Below are 22,056 nucleotides of genomic sequence, written 5' to 3'. Positions count from 1 at the left end.
TTTTTCTTTAGGGGGGTCAGTTGGGGAATCTGAAACCCTCTTCCTACTGTACCTGGGACCAAAAGGCAGACCTGACCTTAGGATTCCAGAGGCTCCCCCCAAGATTGGGTGTGGCATCAATGATTTCTTTCCCAGTAAACCCTGCATCAGACCTACTCCCCACAACACACACACAAAAATCCAGGCTATAACTACTTTAGGGAATGATGGAAGGTTTGGTCTTAGAGCCCACTTCCATCCACACTCTGCAGAGACCCTGGACTGCTCACCTCCCATCTAATCCACCCAAAAGTCTTCCGCCTTACCTTCCGGGAGGTGGGGGTAGAGATCTGAGCCAATAACAAAGGGAAGATGCGCTTTCTCTTGGGGAGCGGGTGGTGGAGAAGGGGAAAACATCAGAAAAACATGGGACTGGTTCTAACGGGTGGAGACGCTGCAGACAGCAGCAAAGGGGAGTTGGATCTCCCGAAGGTAGGAAAGCAGCCCCCTGCCACTCTGCAGAGACTCGGCCGCTGGCCTGGCCAGGCCACACCCAGCCATCCTGATGCAGGGGAGAGGAGGGGCTGCGGGGAAGAGGATGAAGGATGAGCGGCGGGGAGGGGGAGCAAAGGGACCAGCAGAGACTAAGGCTCTGCGGGGGGCGGGGAGATTCAGCCACCTGCCCCCTCCCCGAATTCCCTCCTGGGCGACACTCACCCCAATAACGACGCTGTCGTCCCCTTGGAAAATGGGGATGAACTTGTCTCCCCGCAGAATCTCAGCCTGGTTCAGGGGCCGGAATCGGCAGAGCACCTTGATGCTACATTCGTTGTTGGTCTCCGCCATGGTGGTAGCCGGCGTGGGGCTGGGACTCTTCTTGGGCTGCAGGGGTGGTGTGTGCTCCAGAGGAGAGGGCTCTCAGCAGAGGCCGAGGCGGAGGACAGGTGCTCAGTCTCTGGGGACAGAGTTGAGGGCGCCCGGGCGAAGCCTGGGGAGCAGGGCCGGGGCGCGCTGTCTCTCTCCTGCGGCAGCGGGATGCGGGCGACCTGGGCGTCTGGTCCTTTCGGGCTCTCTGCCTCTCCGCCCCTCGCGCTGCAGCGCCGCGCTGCGGGCCTGGGCGGGGCCGCGATGGAGGAGCGGGGGCGGGGCTCCCTCCACTGGGGACGCTGGCTCGACGTCGACCCCCGAAGGGTGGAACCTCACCGCTCCTCTCCTCCCTCCCCCACCCCTAACGTTCGGAGATAACCTTGCCCTCGACCCTTCCCCACCCAACTCACTGCATCCCACCCCTATACCCCCGACCTGTTTGTCCCTCCCTCAGACTCCACCCCCTGGAAGGGATAAGGGGACTGAGGTGGGCCTGTCGCCTGTGTAGCGAAAAGGGTCAACAGATCTCCCTCTCCCTTTATTCCAGGGCATCCCCCAACCCGTCACAGTCCTCTCTCCAAACTGGGATCACACTTCTCATTCTCCCCCTACGCCCATCCCATGCCCCACATGCACGGAAGCTGGACTCCCAACCCACTCAGCTTTCTGGGGGGACCCCTGCCTGTACTCCTATGAAGTTGGGTGTCGTGGGAGGTTCTGGCTACTCCCTTCCCCTTCCACATCCAAAGGTGCACTATACTGTCTCCCCAACGTACACACCAGGTCCCCAGTTTCAGGGAAGATAAACTCCCATTCTGGGTTATGGGAATTCAAAAGCAGATACAATACTTATTTTTGTGTCCTAGGCTGAGGATGGGAGGAAGATGGGTGGGAAACATCTTTGCAAGAGAAAGGGAGTCAGAAAGCAGTGAAGGAGGGGCAATGATGGGGATGGGTAAGGCCAGAGAGACTTTGAAGTCTGAGGCAAAGCCGGCATTTGGGTTTCAGGCAAATTCAGATACCTACGGGAGTGTGTGTTTTCTGTCTCAGTAACCATTGGAGGATAGAGTCCCAATACTTCAGCCCCCTTCCCTGGCCAAAAAAAAAAAGGTGTGGGGGAAGAAAAACGAAAGAAATGCCAAGCCCAGAGATTCCTTGTCCTTCCTTCCTTTGGGTCAGACTCCTGCTGCAGCCCCTGGAAAGAACCACCAAGAAGCTGGCCAAATTGATTTTTCTCCATGTCACAGGCCTCTGCTGGCCAACAGAGAGTTGGACTGCAGGAGTTGAGGTTCTAGGCAAAGAGGAAGGGCAGGGTGGATGGGAGAAGGAGGAGGAAAGGAAAGTTCTGCTCAGCAACTGTCTGGTGAGTGGTTAAGGTCACTTAAGACACTATGGGACAAAAGTAAGAGGCTGATAGCCTGGCCAGACAAGACCTAACTATTCAGAACTCAGGGGGTTTCCCACATTGGGGCTACACCTCTAACCTACCTTGAATCTTAAGGGAACTGAAAGAAAAGAGTCCAACATAAGGAATGGGACAGGAAAGCTGTAGGACTATGGAGAAAGGGATAGAGGCTTGGGGAGGAGCCAGGAGAAAGAAAGACAACGAGTTCCGAACTCAGGAACTCTCTAGTCACTTGGTTTGGCACAATTTCTAAGTGTTGCAGCATCCTGCAAGCTCAGGAAACATCCTGGGAAACATCCCATCCTTGGGTCCCCAGGGGCTCCAAGGTGGCATCTTTAGTAAAGGGGTTTCAAAATGCCAGTCCATGGAGGGTCACTGGTCAGAGACAAAAGTTCACTGAGTATGCCCTCACCTCCAAAAGAACAATGGTGAGTTTTTTTTTAATATAAAGATGGATTTGATAAGTTTCAAAGGACTATCTTTTATTCTGAGTGTGTCCTTCTTGCTTTTCTACCAAGTAATGATGGTGACAGTAAATAATAGGTTTTCTATTTGTAATATACTTACTTGATAAAATAAAAAGGCAAATCTTCAAGGTTTGTAGTTGTTTTAATTTTATTGAACGATGAAATTTAAAAGTCTGAGAACGGAAGGTAAGGTTGGTGAATAGGTACAAAAAATTAGAAAGTATAATAAGACCTACTATTTGATGGCACAATAGGGTGACTATAGTCAAGAATAACTCAACTGTACATTTTAAAATAACTTAAAGAGTAATTGGATTATTTGTAACTTAAAGGATAAATGCTTGAGAGGATGGATACCCTCTTCTCCATGATGTGCTTATTTCACATTGCATGCCTGTATCAAAATATCTCATGTGTCCCATAAATACATACACCTACTGTGTACCCACAAAATTGAAAAAATTGAAAAATAAATAAAAGTCTGAGAACTATTAACGAAGTAGTTAAGAGCCCAGAGAGTGTTCAGACAGACATGGAGACACCACTTACCTACTTATGAACTTCAGATAGAATTGCCAGATTTGAAAAACAAAAAACAAAAACAGGATGCCCAGTTAAATGTGAATTTCAGATACTTAATTTTTGGGGGGTTAGTATACCCACACACCACACACCACACACACACACCTACTTATTATCTGAAATTCAAATTATCTGAAAGCCCTTACTTGAGAAGATTGCCTAACTTTTTCATTCCTAACATACACTACGCGTTTACTAAATTTTACTTCTTGTTTTTATTTTGTTTTTATAATACACAGTATCAAGCAAACTTCTTGTTTTTGAAACCCCGGCTGTGTCACAGTATGACTACCTGTATCATTTAATCTAGTCATTTTATTCCTGGGAGCCCCAAACAGGAATTATAAATGTTCTTTCACTGACTTGCTGTAAAAGTGAGAGAAAAGGCTGTATGAAATAGCTCCCCAAGGTTCGTTATTGTCGCTCCCCGCCCAAGCTCCAGTACACCAAAACTACACATCCCACAATCCTAGGCGGCGTCCCCTGGCCATTACCTCATTCCCTGGCCTCGTTCTCCCCAATCCCGGCCTCTCCAGGGGTGTGGCAGCAGGGCTGTTCTCGCGACTTTTGCTTTACCCTTCTGCTGTGCTACTGCTGTCGCGAGACTTCCTGCTCATCTGCCGCTCCCTTTGCCGCCGCCTTAGCCCGGGACCCGAACCCAGCCTCTCCCCTACCCGAACACCGGCCCCGGCTCCACCGAGGCCCGGGTCCCCCAGCCCGTCTCGCCGCCGCCATGGCGGACCCTAAATACGCCGACCTTCCCGGCATTGTGAGTACAGGACCGGCCCCGGCTCCCCAGGACCGCGCCCCCGACCTCCCAAGGACCCCCAGCAGAAACCAGCCCGCGACCCCTCCCGCCTGCAGCCCATCCTCCGCCCAAGGGCTCCCGCCGCTCGTTCTCCGATCGGCCTCAGCACCCCCCGAACTCTTCTGACCCGACTGGGCCGGGCCGCCGGACGGCGCACCAGGCCCCCTTTCCGGCAGTCGCCGGTAGCTCGGCCCAGAAATCGACTCCGGGTACTGACCTCTTGTGCCTGAGTTTTTCCACCATCCGTGTCAACGCCTCCCATGTCCCCCCCAAATCTCTCCATAAGACCCCATCGCTACCCCAGACACACACACCAGACCACTTAACGATGGCCTTCATCCTGCCAAGGAAGAGGTTCTGCCATCTGGCAGAACCCTCTTGTGCCAGATGGGGAGCTCTATCCTTGAGGGAACCTATGCCCTCCCCCAGCCCCCACTCCCATGACAATCCTGGCGTGTACCTTCCTTTTGTGCTGCCCTGCCTGCTTCTCAAGGTGAGGGTTGGGACACAGGACCTTGAGTACTAAGGTCCTGAGTCACTCTCAATCCTTGTGCCAGGGTGGTGGTGTACGGGGCCTAATTGGAGGATAGCCTTCACCTTCTTTGGCAATAGTGATTGCCAAGGACCTGCCCGCCTCTAGATTTAGGGTAACATCGTTGCTATCACTTACACTCACCGTTTACTGTCAGGTCCCAATTGTTTCCGCTGTCATCCCTACCCCTTGAGACATGGGAACTGACATACTGTTGACTCACGGGGCAGGTGGAGGAGAAAGGACAGAACCCTGACATCACACCCCGCCTTCTCTGTTAGCTTATTCAAATGGAGTGGGGGAAGGGGTGTTGTTGGATGCTGGGTAGTGAGGTTGGGTGGTCACTGCTTCTACCTGCAGGCCAGGAATGAGCCAGATGTTTATGAAACTAGCGACCTACCTGAGGATGATCAAGCGGAGTTCGATGCGGTAAGAATGTGTGCTGCCACAGACTCCTCCGGACTCTGACCTTTCTCCCCTAGACAGGTCCTTCCCTTTCTCGGGGGAGCTACAGCAATAAGCGGGTATGCCAACCCCAGCCTGGGTGGTATATAGGTTGCAGGGCTTGCAAAGACCTTGCTGGGCTTGCAGCCACCAATGAGCAATGGCAGGAGGGAGAGTCAAGTCAGCGGAATTACAGCTAACAACATCTGTTTGCAAAGCCCTGATTCTTGGGCCTTTTAAATAAAATTGAAATATCTCAAAACAGGTTTGGAGCTAGTGACTTAGGCCCCTGGGTTCTAACCCATGGAAATGAATCATGAAGCCTGGGCACTTGTAATAAACTGCTACCAAGAACTAGACTTTGAAATATGGAGAAATACTTTTTCCATATGAATATCCAGTATCCATTGGGCAAGGAATTAAGAAAGTGATTCCAAGATTTTAGAGCAAAACAAATTTGAGGAAGAATGTAAATATTTCACATCAGCGGATGTGAGACTGTGGTTGCATTTTTAGATCCGAGAATTCTGAGGATGGAGTAATTAGGTACGGATACATTTTAACTGTGAGGGGAAACATTTAGTATGGTTTATTGAGTGTGTTCATTCTGTGGTTTTTTTTGTGCAATGCAGAGGAAGAAATGTCTCTGCCCCCAATGAGCCCCAGACTAATGGGGAATTAGGATACATATAGGAAACATATAGAAGGAAAAAAAAATTGAGTGAATGGAAATCAACATAGTAAAAACTCTGTTTAAGTGCCAAGAGGTGTGTTTATAGGATGTGTTTTAGGTTCTATTATTTCTGAAGACAGCTGGGCTGGGATCACATTGATGATGTGAGTTCTCAGTAAAGATGTGTCCAAGAGTCATTGCAATATGCAGGCTCAGTATGCTTGTCTGTAAGTCCTGTGGCTATGTCTGTGGGGCTGGTTAATTCTGGGGAATGCTGACTGCTGGCTTACAATGTGTGGCTTGGCGTACTCACTTATTTCTTATTTGACTCCCCCATGTGGAAGTGGTTCTTACATTGTGGGAAACACCTTCTCTGTCCCTTCTCCCAGTGGTGTGTTCCTTGTGGCTTCTGTATTTGCTGGCATGCCAATCTATCCCCTAAGCTTGAGTATCTTGGAGATAATGCAGATGATGTTGTTGCTCAAGGACCTGGGTGTGCACCTGTCACTCCAAGAGGCATCTTATAGGAAGCTGCCTCTGTCCTCACAGAATAGGAGTGTATACAATCGGTTCTCTGTATTTATGGGTTCCAAACCCATGGATTCAACCAATCACAAATGGAAAATATTTTTTAAAAATAAAAAATAGGCCCAGTGTGGTGATTCATGCCTGTAATCCCAGCACTTTGGGAGGCTGAGGCAGGTGGATCATTTGAGGCCAGGAGTTTGAGACCCCGTCTCTACTAAAAAATATAAAAATTAGCAAGGCGTGGTGGCGAGCGCTTATAGTCCCAGCTACTGTGGAGGCTGAGGCAGGAGAATTGCTTGAACCTGGGAGGTGGAGGTTGCAGTGAGCCGAGATTGCGCCACTGCACCCCAGCCTGGGTGACAGAGCAAGACTCCATCTCAAAAAAAAAAAAACCAGTACAACAATAAAAAAAAAAACAAAATTTAAAAATACAATATAACAACTATTTACATAGCATTTACATTGTACTAGGTATTTTAAGTAATCTAGAGATGATTCAAAGTATACAGGAGGGTGTAGGTAGGTTATATGCAGTTACTATGCCAATTTATATAGAAGATGGGAACATATGCAGATTTTGGTATCAAGGGAGGTCCTGGAACCAGTCTCCCACAGTTGCCAAGAGACAGCTGTATGCTGAGAACTTTACTGCACTACCACAGTTCAGACTGTTCAACTTAGGCCTAGGCTTCTGCCCTTCATGGTGAGATAATGAATAGAACTCAGTCCTTTTGTCGCTGTGATACAAACAGGTAGTTTCACAGTAATCCTCTTTCTAAACAAAAAAATACATATTGTCATTCCCTTTTGAAGATACTGGGATATCTCTTAATAAAAAGGAGATGACACCCATTCCAGGTGTGGAAGAACCTGACTGTGCAGCTCTGATTGGCTGTTTCTCCCCCAGAGCCTGAACAGCCTATTTTAGTAGCATCTAGTGGGGTGGCTGATGAGGAGAGGATACTGTGAGTGTTCATTTCCTGTGGCATGTTGCCCAGGATGCCAGTATAGAAGTGCATATGAGCTGAATGGCAAATACAAGAAGAGCTGAATTGTTTCTGTCACCTAAGGCTCAGCTAAGTGACTCTCTGTCACTAGGGAGGAATGGGGTGGGCAGACCTTCAGCCACTTCAGGGGCCCGAAGAGCCAAGATGTTTCCTGATGTCAGCTAATGTCTCTGGCCCCCGCATGTCCCTATGGGGCTTGCAGCTTTTGGGAAGTCAGCTGAGTAATGGCTCTGCCACTGCTTTTAATACTGACGTAAATATGCAATTTGAGGAGCAGTGAATTGTATGCTTAGATAATCTAGAAATGTCATGTCCGTGAGGCCTGGGATCTCACCAGCAGCCTGTCTGTTTCCTGCCTACCTGCCCAAGACCTAGTACAAGTGACAGTGCACATGACCTGTCTTGTGGCTGAACCATGAGATTTTCAGTCACCTTCTTTTTTTTTCTTTTTTTTTTGAGACGGAGTCTCACTCTGTCGCCCAGGCTGGAGTGCAGTGGCGTGATCTTGGCTCACTGCGAGCTCCACCTCCCGGGTTCACGCCATTCTCCTGCCTTAGCCTCCCGAGTAGCTGAGACTGTAGGCGCCCACCACCACACCCGGCTAATTTTCTTGTATTTTTAGTAGAGACGGGGTTTCATGTGTTAGCCAGGATGGTCTCGATCTCCTGACCTCGTGATCCGCCTGTCTTGGCCTCCCAAAGTGCTGGGATTACAGACGTGAGCCACCATGCCCAGCCTCAGTCACCTTCTTAACCCCTGACAACAGCATTCTCCGCCTTAATCTTCAGTTTATTTTCAACTTTAATTTTATCAGTTTTTAAAGTAGGTAATGTATGCACAGGGAACAGAGGATTCAAGGGTAAGTAGTGAAAAATCTGCCTCCCACCTCTGCCTACCACCACTCAGTTCTCTTCCCTAGAGACAACCAATATGGATAGACTCTTGTGGAACCTTTCAGGGGGTCTCCAGATTTCTTTTTGGTTTTTGAGACAGAGTCTCACTCTTTCCCCCAGGCTGGAGTGCAGTGGCACAATCTTGTCTCACTGCAACCTTTGCCTCCCCGGTTCAAGCGATTCTCCTGCCTCAGCCTCCCAAGTAGCTGGAATTACAGGCATGTGCCACCACACCTGGCTAATTTTCTGTATTTTTAGTAGAGATGGGGTTTCACCATGTTGGCCAGGTTGGTCTCGAACTCCTGGCCTCAAGTGATCCATCCATCTTGGCCTCCCAAAGTGCTGGGATTACAGGCGTGAGCTACCATGCCAGCCGGGTCTCCAGATTTCTGTCTAAAGGAATAGTCAAGTTGTGTTGACCCTCACTGCTCCATAACTTTCTTCCTGTGATTCCTCCACTGTGGAAGAAATTGGGCTACTAAAGGAAAAATGTCCTCAAACATCCCTTAAAGATTTAAATTGCTAATTTAACTTAAACATAAACATTTTCCGATTCCCATAGTGGGGAGGATGGGGGAGGAAAGCATAAAAGATTTAAATTTTGCTACAGATGATCGTGAATTTTTTTTTTTTTCAAGATGGAGTTTCACTCTTTTTGCCCAGGCTGGAGTGCAATGGCGTGATCTCAGCTCACTGTAACCTCCACCTCCCGAGTTCAAGAGATTCTCCTGCCTCAGCCTCCTGAGTAGCTGGAATTACAGGTGTCCATCACCACACCCGGCTAATTTTTTGTATTTCTAGTAGAGACAGGGTTTCACCATGTTGGCTAGGCTGGTCTCAAACCCCTGACCTCAGGTGATCCACTCACCTAGGCCTCCCAGAGTGCTGGGATTACAAGCATGAGCCACTGTGCCTGGCCAATCCTGATTTTTCTACTATCCCTTTAAAACAATTTTAGCAGGAAGTAAAATCTTCTAAAACAGGAATGGACCAGGAAAGTGCACGGGCTGTAGCCCTTTCCTCCTCAATCTGGGAAGATCTCTTTGCACTTCAGACACTCCCAGGTTAATTGGGGCAATAGGCTTGCTTGGAGATTTTTCTTAAAATGTTTGGAAAACTAATTCCCAAATAGAATTCCACCCACACACACACCCCGACCCTAACCCCTGGGCCCACAGCCTGCCTTGGGTCAGTGAGGCTTTCTGCTCATGGCTTTTGAACTGCTGGAATAAGGGAAGTAAATTAAGAAAAACCTCATTAGAAACAATTTAGCTTCTCTCTTTATGGCATAACTACCCGCAGTAAAAGGGGAAAAAATGACCTAGCCATAGTTTGATGGGGCCCTGGCAGAGGCTTCATTTCTCCAAAAGGTAGATATTACTGGACACTCCTGAGATGAGAAACAGTACTTCCTTACAGTTTAGAAGATCCTGGAGTATGCTTGATTGTGTTCATTGACTGTTGGCGCACTTGAACTTACCTGAGTTTTTCCTAATGCTTCCCCCATCCTCCCTCCTCACCACCTTGCCTGGACACTAGTTTGCACAAGTAAGACCATTCAATGCTTCTTCTCTGCATGTTTTTTTCATCTGCCATCTCGCATGCAATGCTCTGCCACTGTGCTATTGTTGTAGCTAATCGTTTTAAATTCCAGTGAGTCCCTGGCTGGGTCACTGAGGGGCCTGCTGGCCTTATGTTTAAAGATCATTAATCAAGGGTTAGAAACAGCTATGATCCATGAATCATTGTCTCTTCCCCTTGTGAGGTCTGCAGAGTAAAACTGTCCAGTGGAGGATGGGATAGAAGCATGGAGGCTTTAAATGTTTTTGAACATGAGGCATTTAGGGGCTGGAGTTAGAAGGCAGTTTCCTTTCTCCTCCTCAGACTAAGATCAAATGAAGATTTTTTTATGGAATGACTTTTAGCTATTCTAGACAAGGATAGAAAACAAAAGGGATGACAGCCACAGTCCTCAGTTCTTGGCTGTATGTGGATTATCTCTGGGAAAAACTCATTTTAATATTCCCCTATGCTAGGTCTTTAGAGAAATGTAAATGGGATGAGAAGGAGGTTTATATGCAATTGTAAGATAACTTGGATTATTTGTGCTTTTGTGAGTCTTTCTGTTTCTGCACCCCTCCTTTTGAAATGGATGGATGGTCAGCAATATATTGATCCATCCCGGACAGTTTTACTCTACAGCTCTGTCCATCTTCCTTGTCATCATGGTTTTGAAGTACCCTGGCTGCAGTGTTGGCGTACAGCCTGAATAGGCTCAGAGAGTAACAGTGGCCACTTTCCCTGTCTGATTTAGAACCTCAGATCTTGCCCTCTGAGGCACAGCCACTTAGCCAAACAGCCCTGGGGGGTCTGGGAGTCCCTTAGTGAAAGAGACTGGGAGTCACGTACTAGGTAAGCTGGCACCCGGGGCCAGGGCACTTGAAATCTTCCAATCAAGGTGACTAGTACTACTCCAGGTTATGCAGGAATCATGCCTAAAATCTCATCAACCTTCAACCCACCCATAGGACAGACCTGGAGGTGGTATATACTATCTGCAAACTAATATACCACTTTTCCTTTTATTTGATTTTCTGTCCTCCCTATTCTGCCCAATCCGCATGGTTTGAAATTGAGCTTATGGCCCATTGTCTTCTTTCTCTCCTTGAGTTTCTCCCAAGCTGGTTTTAGCTTGGTGGGACAAATCAGAGAAAGGTATAGTGTGTGTACTTCTCCTTTGTGTTTGCATGTTTGCACTTATGGGTGCTTACACCCACTCTATGCAGAGACATCCCAGCCTCGACCACAGGATCTGGAGCCACCTCTACCCTGAGCTGAAAGAGGAATTTTTTTTTTTTTTTTGAGACAGTCTCACTCTGTCACCCAGGCTGGAGTGCAGTGGCATGATCTCAGCTCACTGCAACCTCCGCCTGCCGGGTTCAACTGCAACCTCCACCTCCCGGGTTCAAATGATTCTCCTGCCTCAGCCTCCCGAGTAGCTGGGATTACAGGCGTCCACCACCATGCCTGGCTAATTTTGTATTTTTAGTAGAGATGGGGTTTCACCATGGTGGCCAGGCTGGTCTCGAACTCCTGACCTCAAGTGATCCACCCACCTCGCCCTCCCAAAGTGCTGGGATTACAGATGTGAGACACCGTGCCTGGTGGAAAGAGGAATCTTGGCTGGGACCCTAGCATCGTCTAGGGAACAGAGAGGTTGTGATTAAGAGGTATCTGGATGAAATCTTGGTGAAAGGAAGCACTTGTTTTTAATCCCACCATGGTTTTTCATATGCATACAACCATCCTCAACCATCTGCCCATCAGCAGAGCTCCTAGAAAGGCAGGACATACCACTGGATATCCCCTTCTGGCAGTTCTAAACCAGCCTTGCCCGGAAGTGGGAGCCTTATCTATGTGGCCCAGACTCAAATAAGGCCTCTTGGAAATACTCTCACCCTTCCCCTTTGTTTACCCTCCAACCCCTGTGAATCTTGTGAACAGAGGGTTGAAGAAACATGTTCTGCACATGTGCTAGTACCTGTGAATCTTGATGTCCCCTGGACCCTCTGTGTAAGTACATCATGGCAGAATTGCTCTAGATCCTTCGGAGCTGCAGGGTGAGTTACCAGCCACTCAAGGTGGAGGCAAACATGCCAGGCTGCACAAGGGACCAGGAGCAGCTCTGCCTCTTCCCTTGCAGGAGGAAATGAGAACGGGGCTATACTTAGGTACTTCATCATTCCTTTAACTCACCATCTGTACCTGACATATTTTGTTTTGTCTCACCTAAAGTCATATCAGACTTCCTACCTGATCACTCTCATTGTGACTGATTCTGCCATCCAAATGTCTAATTTTTCACAGCTAGAGAAACTAAGAGATAGGAAGACAAGGGCCATGAACTAAGAAGGGGAACTCCTCTCCTGAGAATTATTGACCCTCTATCAGCTACAAGTCTAAGAATTTCTAACTTCTGCTTCATCTTCTACCATTTCTAATAGCTTCCCCACCACCTCAGCCTTCTCTCCCCAGTTTCTTATTCCATGCCACTGGCTGGTAACATCTAACTCCTAGTTTTCAGATGATCCTAAACTGCTGCTGTTAATGGCAAAGCTTCATGACATCCTCACCACCAGAGGGAAAAGGGTCTCATGCTCTTCTTTCTCTTGGGGTATATGGTGACCCCAGCTGAAATTTCTTGGCCCCTAAATTTCGCTAGGCTCCCCTGGGGCCCTGTGGTGCAGTGTGTTGGAAGACTGTCATGTAGTGCATGTGACAATTTGCTAATAACAATTTTGTCTTTTTTTTCCCTCCCTCATCCCCATTCCCCCACTCCCTTTCCTTTTAACTCTTTTGATTTTCTCACCTCTGGGGAAACCACAAGGAGCTGGTAAGAAGCCTGACCTTTCATCTGCTTTTTAACGGGGTGTGCTATGATGAGCAGTTGTTTCTCTGTCCTTTAGACTCTACTAAATCTTTCATTCATCTATTCAGTCCCACACCCAGCCTTTTCCTATCTCACAAGTCACTGTAATTATACTGCCCCCAACTCATGCCCCAGATCTTCAAGACACTGCTGGAGTAGGTGCTACTGGAGGACTAGAGTGTGCTCCCGGGCCACAGCCTTGGAGAGGCTCCAGAGGATGCCAGCGCCAGGTAGCCCAACTGGCCCAGGACACTCTCCCACAGCAGGAATGAAAATGCTCTCTGTCCCTGTGACTGTCCAGAACCTCTGAGACTCACCGTCTATGTGTTGACCCTCTTCTACTCCCCGCTTTCCCTACTTAGGAACGTAAATAAGAAAGTAGGTTCCATCTGCATAGTGCCCGCCCATAATAAGGGCTTAACAAATGGTAGCTATGATTAATTTTTTTCCTGGGTCTGTAGGTTATGCCTCCCATTCCTCTTTTTTAAGAGGATTAAACAAAAGAGGATGGGTGGGATTGGCCTGGATTGGGGCTTTCACAGGGAGAAGTGGCATATTCCTGAGTATGAACTTCAGAGAAGATGGTTGTCTATCCTTAGCCTGAGCCCTTCCCAGTTGATAAGAGGCCAGAGATCACACAGCTATTAGATGGGTGGGTGTTCTGGCCGTAACATTTCAGAACAGGTTAAAGAGATAATCATTTGGGACTCAAATGTCTCTCCCCCCGGGCACTTGCATATGGGACATTGAGTCCTTTTGTTTTCCCTTGATCTATAGCTCTTACCCCTCTGCCCAGTAATTCCCTGAGGAAGAGGTAAAGATCAAAGTTGATACTTTGTCCTTTCCTTCCTTCTTCCCTTATTTTTAAAGCTGTCACCCACACTGATTCCTGCTCTAATAGCAGAGCAGAGATGAAGGAAGGAGCTTCCTTCTATCTGCTTTTCTTTCTCAATGATGTCCCACCATGTCCCCCTCACACCCTCTCCCCACATACCTACACACAGGCAGAGATTCTCAGTCCTGGCTGTAGGTTAGAATCACCTGGATATCTGGCCCTACCCCAGAATAATTCATTAGAATCTCTAGAAGTGGGCCCAGGCCTTTTTTTTTTTTTTTTTTTCTTTTCTCTCTCTCTCTTTTTCTTTTTTTGAGACAGGGTCTCACTCTGTTGCCCAGGCTGGAGTGCAGTGGCATGATCTCTGCTCACTGCATCCTCCACCTGCCAGGCTCAAGTGACCCTTCCACCTCAGCCTCCTGAGTAGCTGGGACCACAGGCACGTGCCACAATACCCAGCTATTTTATATTTTTTGTAGAGTTGGGGTTTCCCTATGTTGCCCAGGCTGGTCTTGAACTCCTGAGATCCACCCGCCTTGGCCGAACTTTGGGAGGCCGAGGCGGGTGGATCACTTGGAATTAGGATCCTCCCAAAGTGCTGGGACTACAGACAGGCTTGAGCCACCATTGCCCGGCTGTCTATTTAAAAAAAAAAAAAAATTATAAGTGATTCTAACATGCAGCCTGGGGTGAGAACCATTGTTCTAGGTGAAAGAAGGAAGGCTCATTTTGCCTTCCTCCCATAGAAGGTAGAGATGTCATCCCCAACAGAAAAGGACTCCTGGGTCTCCCTCCTACTTCCATCAGTACTCTGTTGGGAGCTGTCAGGCTTCTGACAATTGAAAAAGGGACATGCAGTCAGGAGTGCTTGGTGCAGTCTTGGTGTTGTCACTGGAATCTGAACAGCATGTAGATATCTAGTAAGGAGGGAACCTCTCTGCTTCAGTTTCTAGGGTGAAGTCTCTTTCACCGCCTACTTGTGTCCCCTGTTTTTGGAAGAGCTTCAGTGCTTAAAGCATAGCAGAGGAGTCAGGGAGAAAAATCAGGTGCTGCAGCGTCTCTGAAGAGATGCTGGTTTATCTCCATTTCAGAGCTTACATGTGGCTCTTGCCCATGGATACTCTTGGCAAGCAGATATTGCCTATGTTTGTTGCTTCTAAGATGTCCCATAAAGATAATCCAGTAAGCCCTTGCCCCTTCTCCCTGTCCCTGAGTTCGCTGGCCTCATGGCAGCCTGGAAATCAGGCTTCTGGTCAGGCCCTCTGTCGGCCTTCTTTTTGTACTAAGAGCTTGTGTCTTACCTTCAACAGGTTTAAAGTCCTAATATTCACACTCAGTGTTAGTGGCCTGATTATCTGCCTTCCCTCCTCTTTCCTTCTAGCAAGGATGGGAGGTTAGCATTAAAATGGACTTGCTCAGCGGGCAAGATTTACTTTTGGGAGGGGGAGGTTAAAAGAGGTCAGGTTGGTTTCTTGCCTTGAGTGCATGGCGTGTGCCAGACAACTGGGAGGGGTAGCATGGGGGGATGGGAAGGCTTATGTACAGAGAGGGTGGGGAGGTTATGCTCCCTCTGCTCCCAGTTGAATGAGGGTGTTAATATTTATACAACTGAGGCTCCAAATTTACCAGGAAGCTTCAGTTTCCTAGGTTAAGCCTGGGTAGGCGCCTTGGAATAGAGCCACCCTTCTTTCCCCTTGGACAAGTAGGGCCCAGTCACCTAATGGTTTGGGGATTTTGTGGGGTAGAGTAAGTTCTAGAGTGGGAATGAGTGTGTCCCTGGCCTAAACTACCTGTTCTTGCAGGAGGAGCTGACAAGCACAAGTGTGGAACACATCATTGTCAATCCTAATGCTGCCTATGACAAGTTCAAGGACAAGAGAGTGGGGACAAAGGGACTTGGTGAGACTGGGCTGGAAGCTGGGTGGGGGGAAGACTGGAGGATAAGCATGAGAAGTGGTTTCCTGTCCTAAAGTCTTAGTGAGTTGTGCTTGGGGGAAGGGGTCCCTCATGGAGATATTTTATGGAAGCCCTCACAGTCACCTGAGACCATGACTGCCTTGGGCCTAGATCAGGCCCTCAGTTCCATCTTCTTTTCTTGGCAGATTTCTCAGATCGTATTGGAAAAACCAAGAGGACAGGATATGAATCTGGAGAATATGAGATGGTTTGTTGTGTGTGTGTGTGTGTTGATGGGAATGGTGTAGTGACCCTATCTAGCAGACATGTAGTAGGGAGATCAAGGGATACAGGCGGGATTCTGTTCCTCCTCTGTTCCTGAGGAAGCAGCAGGATGCAGCCAGGGAAACTCTGCCCTACTGCTGTTTGTTCTGGAGAGCCTCCAGCCCTCTAGCTGTCCTCAGTTCTTTGGTACTAGGGTGTTGTGGATTCTCAATTGGATATGATACCTTTATGACTTAGGCCCAGGGTGTGGATGAATTCTTGAGGCTCCCTGTAATGAGACATATAACATTACCCTCTGTGCCTGCTCTCTAGCTTGGAGAGGGTCTGGGAGTGAAGGAGACACCCCAGCAAAAGTACCAGCGCCTACTGCATGAGGTCCAAGAGCTGACAACTGAAGTTGAAAAAATCAAGGTAACTACAAACTCTCTTCTCCCTTCTCTGCTGTGACTTACACAGTAGAGGAAGACCTCAAGCAAGAAGAGAAAGATTCCCTGCCTGGCTGGGTGCGGTGGCTCACGCCTATAATCCTACCACTTTGGGAGGCCGAGGCAGGCGGATCACCTGAGGTCAGGAGTTCAAGACCAGCCAGGCCAACATGATGAAACCCCATCTGTACTAAAAAAATACAAAAACTTAGCCAGGTGTGGTGGCGCATACCTGTAATCCCAGCTACTCGGGAGGCTAAGGCAGGAGAATTGCTTGAACTCGGAGGCGGAGGTTGCAGTGAGCCCAGATCATGCCACTGCACTCCAACCTGGGTGACAGAGCGAGACTCCATCTCAAAAAATGAAAGAAAGAAAGATTCCTTAAGCTCCTGGATAAAGGGGCTAAGGTTTCCAGAGTTTACAAATATGCATCCATCTGTATGCAGTGCTACATACAGGTGGGCAGTCTGTCATGCTGAAAACCATCCCAGTGACCTCCAGCTACAACTACCTTTAAAGGGCTTGACCTATTTTTTTGCTTCTTGATTCATTCTTGCCATCCCCCGATTTCTACCTTTTTTCATACTAGACGACAGTGAAGGAGTCAGCCACAGAGGAGAAGCTGACCCCTGTGTTGCTGGCTAAACAGCTGGCAGCCCTGAAGCAGCAGCTGGTTGCTTCCCACCTGGAGAAGCTGCTGGGACCAGATGCTGCAATCAACCTTACCGACCCCGATGGCGCCCTGGCTAAGTGGGTACCCTACTTTGTTGAAAAATCATTGCTGACTGGGGTTGTGGATGGACTCAGCCAGCTACTGACAGGGGTGCTAAGTGGCAGAGAAGTGGCTTAGATGTTTCTTAATGCTGATTATGAGGCAAAAGTGAGGGAGAGTGACTGGCCCTTCTCCTTCCAGTCATGATATTATTACTCGGTCTCCTAACTAGGCGCCTACTACTGCAGCTGGAAGCAACAAAGAACAGCAAAGGGGGATCAGGGGGAAAAACCACTGGGACCCCCCCAGATAGCAGCCTTGTCACTTATGAACTACATTCTCGGCCTGAGCAGGACAAGTTCTCTCAAGCTGCCAAAGTAAGTGTGGATACAGTGTTGGTTGGGAAGCCAAGGGGAGATGTGACCCTAGAGATTTTCCTGCCTCTCTCCAAGGAGAGGGTGCTGGGAAGGCTTCTGATTCCTCTGATTCCTCTTGATTGATTCCTCTTTTGATTCCTGATTCGTTGTTCTCTATGTTTCTTTCTTTTTTTTTTTTTTTTGAGACGGAGTCTTGCACTGTTTCCCAGGCTGGAGTGCAGTGGCGCAATCTTGGCTCACTGCAAGCTCCGCCTCCCGGGTTCACGCCATTCTCCTGCCTCAGCCTCCTGAGTAGCTGGGACTACAGGCACCTGCCACCACGCCCGGCTCATTTTTTGTATTTTTGGTAGAGATGGGGTTTCACCATGTTAGCCAGAATGGTCTCGATCTCCTGACCTCGTGATCCGCCCGCCTCGGCCTCCCAAAGCACTGGGATTACAGGCGTGAGCCACCGCGCCCGACCTCATTCTCTATGTTTCCCTCGCCCATCTACCTTTGGTTAGGATTTTAAGATTGTGGCTAGGTATGTATTCCAGGGAAAGGAATCCCTTGGGGTGGTGAGTGGCAGGCAGAGTAGAGCAGGATCGTATTCCTCCCATTGCAGCAGCAGGGAAGCAGATGGCAAATCTCACCTCCTTCCTCCCACTAGGTCGCAGAACTTGAAAAGCGCCTGACAGAGCTGGAGACAGCTGTACGTTGTGATCAGGATGCTCAGGTCAGGTGTTCTCCTGTACATAATCTGAGCCTTAGATCCTGCAACTCTAGGCCTTAAGGTCTACAACATTCCACATAAGCCTGGGAGGAGTCATCAAAGGGCTTCAGTTACAGGGATCAGCTAGTGGGTTCCCAGCTAGAACCAGGAAAGATGGGAGAAGACGATAATCATGGAGATATAAGGACCACTCACTTCTTCCCTTCCTTTCCCACCAGAATCCCCTTTCTGCAGGTCTACAGGGAGCCTGTCTCATGGTGAGTTTGGAAGAAACTGGAGTGTTTGGATCACAGAGGGGATAGTTGGGTTTGGGTTTGCTTTGAGGATTATTTTTGAGTTTGTAGCTATATATTAATTTAGTGGAATATGGGAGGCCTCTTGCTAGTCTGCCTTTCCTCTTCATGATGCTTGTCCCAACTTCCATCCCCAGGAGACTGTAGAGCTGTTGCAAGCAAAGGTGAGCGCCCTAGACCTTGCAGTTTTGGATCAAGTGGAGGCTCGGCTACAGGTATTAAATGGAGGGAAAATTAAATTATGGATAGCTTGGGACTCTGGAAGCCCTGGATGCCCTATCAACCTTAAAATCTGTGTTTTCAGAGTGTCCTGGGAAAGGTGAACGAGATTGCCAAGCATAAAGCCTCTGTAGAAGATGCAGATACACAAAGCAAGGTCAGGAAGACACCTTCCCCATCTCCTTTCCACTCCCTCAGGTTCTCCGAGTGGCAGTGTCAAAGCATGAGAACACACTGACTCCTCAGGTCCCCATCTTCATAAGCTCTTATGAAGAGCTTATCAGCTTGGAAAGTCAGGGCACTGCTTCCCTCTGCCCACTTGATCCTTTCCCCCATTACGGTGAAATAGCAGTCTGTACATACTGACCTGGCTGCCTCAGCCATCCCCTCTGGGCCCCATTGTGTCCCTTCAGGTGCACCAGCTATATGAAACTATACAGCGCTGGAGCCCCATTGCCTCCACCCTCCCTGAGCTGGTGCAGAGACTTGTCACCATCAAGCAGCTGCACGAGCAAGGTGGGAGGCCAGCTGCCAGGAGTGCTAAGAGAAGTTGAAAAATGGGCAACTTTTGGTCCCCTCCCTTATCTTGGATTCAAGTCTCAACCATACTTTTCTTTTGTAGCCATGCAGTTTGGTCAGCTCCTGACACACTTGGATACCACCCAGCAGATGATTGCTAATTCCTTGAAGGACAATACCACCCTCTTGACCCAGGTGTGTGCCCCTTTGTTGATCTGTCCTCCTTTCTCCAGCATGTGCAAACTAGGTTCTCCAGTGTTATAGGGTTCTGCCTTAGCCTATTTTGTAGCATGGTGTTGTGGCAGGGGGTTGGTCTGGAGTCTCCATCCTGCTTTCAATGTGAAGGCCCTTTGACAACTTATTTAACCTATGAACCTCCATCTTTCCATCTGGGAAATTATACCTCCCTCAGAGTTATGTAGATGAGGTGAAATAATATGGGCAAATTGTTAGGGGCTAGTGAACATGTTTTCTTATAAAACCCCACTCTTTCCCTTTGTCGTCTCAACTTTACTCTCCCTGATAAGCACAGTACACTGGAAGGAATCCGGGCTTTGAAGTCAGAAGCAGGCCCTAATCTCGTTCTGTCGCTTCCTTTCTGGCCCTGGACAATGAGCCTCACCTAGCTCCTTCATTCTTTTAGTAATGCCTGGCACACAGCAAGTCCACAATTTCTTATTGTTTTTTATTTTTAAGACAGAGTCTCGCTCTGTTGCCCAGGCTGGAGTGCAGTGGTGTGATCTCAGCTCACTGCAGCCTCCACCTCCCGGGCTCAAGCAATTCTCATGCCTCAGCCTATTGAGTAGCTGGGATTACAGGCACGCACCACCACACCTAATTTTTTTTTTTAGTAGAGACGGGGTTTCACCATGTTGTCCAGGGTGGTCTCAAACTCCTGACCTCAAGTGATCCCACCCATCTCGGCCTCCCAAAGTGCTGAGATTACAGGCGTGAGCCACTGCACCTGGCCGCAAGTCCCAATTTCTGTTGGAGGCACTGTTCTCAGTGCTGGAAGGAGCATTAAAGTCGAGAGACCAGCATCAATCACAGGATCACTGAGATAAATGAAAAAATATATAAAGGACTTAGAATAATATCCTTTTCCTCCAGAGCAGTTTTCTAACATTTTGAACCAGTGAAACCCTCATTTCAACAAAATCTTATTTAGCTCTCATTACATAAAACAGATTTTAAAAAACTGTTCTGGCTGAAGTCAGGATGGGAATTCTCGAGTCCTACCTGCTTGGGCTCACCCCAAGCGTGGTCTATGTACTCTAAGGGTAGCTTGAAAATTGGTGCTATAAACATCCCCCCTCTGTGGCCCACAAATTGTGCTTCCATTTCTTGTCTTCTCTCTCAGAGAATTCCTTCAGGTCCTCATCCAGTTAAGCAACTGGACCTGACAAAGAGTAAAACCTCTCTACCACTTTGTAGGTGCAGACAACCATGCGTGAAAACCTGGCCACAGTTGAGGGGAACTTTGCCAGCATTGATGAACGGATGAAGAAGCTGGGAAAGTGAGCACATTTGGGAGCTGGAGAACAGGGGTTATCCCTACCCCTGTGAACTCTGTTAACAGCTTACATAGGGTTTCCCCTTTACTATAACTCTAGCATCCCCATCCCATTTGACACTGGGGGCAAGGGTTCTTCTTGCATGTGGGGTTTATACCCCTCCCCTGATGAATACAGAGTGGTAGCTAGGGGTTGGTTATCATCAGAAGGTGGTCTCCCCTCAGGCCTGGGGGATAAGGACGTGGGCCCAGCCACATGCCAACTCATGTCCAATACTGCTTTGCCTGGTGTGGGGAAGGATTGGGTCTTGTCCCCCAACACAGCTTCTGTGGCTGACTGTAATACTGTACAACTGTTTCTGACCATTAAATGCTGTTGTACTCTGTGTGGCCTCTGCTGTGTTTCCTGGGGAGGAAGCAGCACTAGGATATAGATATTCATTCGTCATAACAGGCAATCTAAGCCACTCTATACTACAAGAGATGGATTTAAATTGTAACCTGTTCTTACCAAAGAACTAAATAAAAAATGAGTACAGAGCCAGAGCCAGAGTTTCAAAATATTCTCATCTGTTAAATTAAGAGTGTCTCCCATAGAAAAGCAGTGGAGGCCCCACAGGGCAAGTACAAAACAGAATTAAAACTCCCAAGGGTCTTGTCTTTACAAAAGAAAAGGCAGGAGGCAGCCCCTGGACAGCTGGTCATGCTGGCCGCTCCGGTTGGACCACGTTGCATAATCCTCAGTCGCATCATCACAACGTCTCTGAGCGTTTTGATGGGGGGAGAAGGGGCAGTGTAGTGTGTATGGGAGGAGAGGCCCAGAGGGCTCTCTTTGCCCCCTTACCCCCTTTTTTATATCCCAGAGGAAAGTCGGGGGAACCTGGCTACACCTTGAAATGAGGCTATGTGTTTCAAACCTGGGGACGGGGTAAGAGAGGATCTGTGCTTTGAGCAACCTGAGCCAGAGGCAGAGGGGTGTTGGAGGGGTAAGGGGAGGATGCATGATGCTTATTGCTTTGTACCTTTCACTGGGAAGGAGGGCAGCAGCCAACAGTAGCTCACAGGTTTGTAAACTGAGCCTGTTGGCTTTAAGAAGGGAGGCAATGAAATCGAATTAAATATAAAAGAGTCATTTGTGCAAAAATAACTTAAACAAATAAAAGACCTGGGGAAGGGGGTGTTCCCCTTAGCGCCTGGTGGGGAAAGGGCCATATACCATCCCCCCCAGGCCTTTTCAGTGACATGGCTTCGGGGGGGCGGGGGGGTGGTGGGGGGGGGTGAACTTCCCTGCCCCCTGCAATGGCTCAGGATGGGATTGTAGGGGAAGGAGTTGCATTTGTGCTCTGAGTGGGGAGTAGTGCCCCCACCCACTGTCCACAGGTGCAGGTGGCTGGCAGGGGCTCCCAAGGCTCAGCACTCAGCTCTCCCCAATCAGGGTCAGATCCAGCTCCAGGTATGGCTGCTATGGGGCCAGTTTCCTCCTCTTGTTTTTGGCAGGACGGCCAGGGCGGGCCCGGGGAGGCAGAGGGACAGCTGCCTAATATCAGAGGGGAAGTTGATAGAAGTGGTCAATTGCTAGGTATCAGGAAGTCTTCTTTTCTCCCCACTCCCTCTAACCCTCCTTTCCTCCTGCCGCCTCATCCCTTACACCCTACC

At 48.7% G+C, this 22,056-nt stretch overlaps 3 protein-coding genes across 32 annotated transcripts in view, besides 3 other annotated features; 1 reads left to right on the top strand and 2 right to left on the bottom strand.

The window, feature by feature from the left end:
- Positions 1-1,053, bottom strand: part of KIF5A (kinesin family member 5A) — a 36,590-nt gene extending 35,537 nt beyond the window's left edge. For both annotated transcript variants that reach the window (NM_004984.4, NM_001354705.2), the window contains exon 1: positions 697-1,053. In NM_004984.4, coding sequence (NP_004975.2) covers positions 697-825 — 129 coding nt within the window. In that variant the 5' untranslated portion in view covers positions 826-1,053. The remainder of the gene's footprint in view (positions 1-696) is intronic.
- Positions 126-718: an enhancer, noted in NCBI's record as "H3K4me1 hESC enhancer chr12:57944162-57944754 (GRCh37/hg19 assembly coordinates)". NCBI's record gives its function as "activates a minimal SCP1, AML or CMV promoter by ChIP-STARR-seq in naive H9 embryonic stem cells {active_cell/tissue: H9 hESC(naive)}" and the evidence as "EXISTENCE:reporter gene assay evidence [ECO:0000049][PMID:30033119]".
- Positions 987-1,326: a silencer, noted in NCBI's record as "silent region_4584". NCBI's record gives its function as "represses an Ori minimal core promoter by ATAC-STARR-seq in GM12878 lymphoblastoid cells {active_cell/tissue: GM12878}" and the evidence as "EXISTENCE:reporter gene assay evidence [ECO:0000049][PMID:35858748]".
- Positions 3,637-3,776: an enhancer, noted in NCBI's record as "active region_6548". NCBI's record gives its function as "activates an Ori minimal core promoter by ATAC-STARR-seq in GM12878 lymphoblastoid cells {active_cell/tissue: GM12878}" and the evidence as "EXISTENCE:reporter gene assay evidence [ECO:0000049][PMID:35858748]".
- DCTN2 (dynactin subunit 2) lies at positions 3,905-21,046 on the top strand. 9 transcript variants are annotated; one of them, NM_001348067.2, is made up of 16 exons: positions 3,905-4,069; positions 5,001-5,069; positions 9,725-9,733; positions 12,750-12,844; positions 15,252-15,348; positions 15,552-15,613; positions 15,943-16,041; positions 16,645-16,805; positions 17,000-17,144; positions 17,794-17,859; positions 18,075-18,113; positions 18,287-18,364; positions 18,454-18,525; positions 18,782-18,884; positions 18,991-19,082; positions 20,322-21,046. In NM_001348067.2, the coding sequence occupies exons 6-16, from the start codon at positions 15,611-15,613 to the stop codon at positions 20,406-20,408; spliced, it is 945 nt and encodes a 314-aa protein (NP_001334996.1). In that variant the 5' UTR covers positions 3,905-4,069; positions 5,001-5,069; positions 9,725-9,733; positions 12,750-12,844; positions 15,252-15,348; positions 15,552-15,610; the 3' UTR covers positions 20,409-21,046. The 9 variants fall into 9 exon arrangements, 8 of the variants coding, with proteins under 8 accessions (NP_001334996.1, NP_006391.1, NP_001334995.1 ...); NM_006400.5 differs by lacking the exon at positions 12,750-12,844 and adding an exon at positions 12,573-12,578; NM_001348066.2 differs by lacking the exons at positions 9,725-9,733; positions 12,750-12,844 and adding exons at positions 8,107-8,151; positions 12,573-12,578.
- The window catches only part of MBD6 (methyl-CpG binding domain protein 6), a 10,831-nt gene continuing 8,326 nt past the window's right edge, over positions 19,552-22,056 (bottom strand). For 8 of the 21 annotated variants that reach the window (XM_011537851.4, XM_006719218.2, XM_006719217.2 and 5 more), the window contains exon 13: positions 20,949-21,937. In XM_011537851.4, coding sequence (XP_011536153.1) covers positions 21,863-21,937 — 75 coding nt within the window. In that variant the 3' untranslated portion in view covers positions 20,949-21,862. Of the gene's footprint in view, positions 19,943-20,948; positions 21,938-22,056 lie in introns of those variants that run through there. The other 13 variants (XR_007063034.1, XR_007063033.1, XR_429076.3 and 10 more) reach the window with 7 other exon arrangements.

The sequence above is a fragment of the Homo sapiens genome, chromosome 12 (genome assembly GCF_000001405.40).
Source record: "Homo sapiens chromosome 12, GRCh38.p14 Primary Assembly".
Classification (NCBI taxonomy): domain Eukaryota; kingdom Metazoa; phylum Chordata; class Mammalia; order Primates; family Hominidae; genus Homo; species Homo sapiens.
Note: the sequence above shows the minus strand (reverse complement) of the source record. Positions and strands in the feature narration are given on the sequence as shown.

Coding starts and splice junctions, on each gene's coding strand:
- DCTN2 (NM_001348065.2), top strand. CDS start 4,437: ATGGCCTTCATCCTGCCAAGGAAGAGGTTCTGCCATCTGGCAGAACCC. Junction 17,860..18,074: donor GTTGTGATCAGGATGCTCAG/GTCAGGTGTTCT, acceptor CTTTCCCACCAG/AATCCCCTTTCTGCAGGTCT. Junction 18,114..18,286: donor TACAGGGAGCCTGTCTCATG/GTGAGTTTGGAA, acceptor TTCCATCCCCAG/GAGACTGTAGAGCTGTTGCA.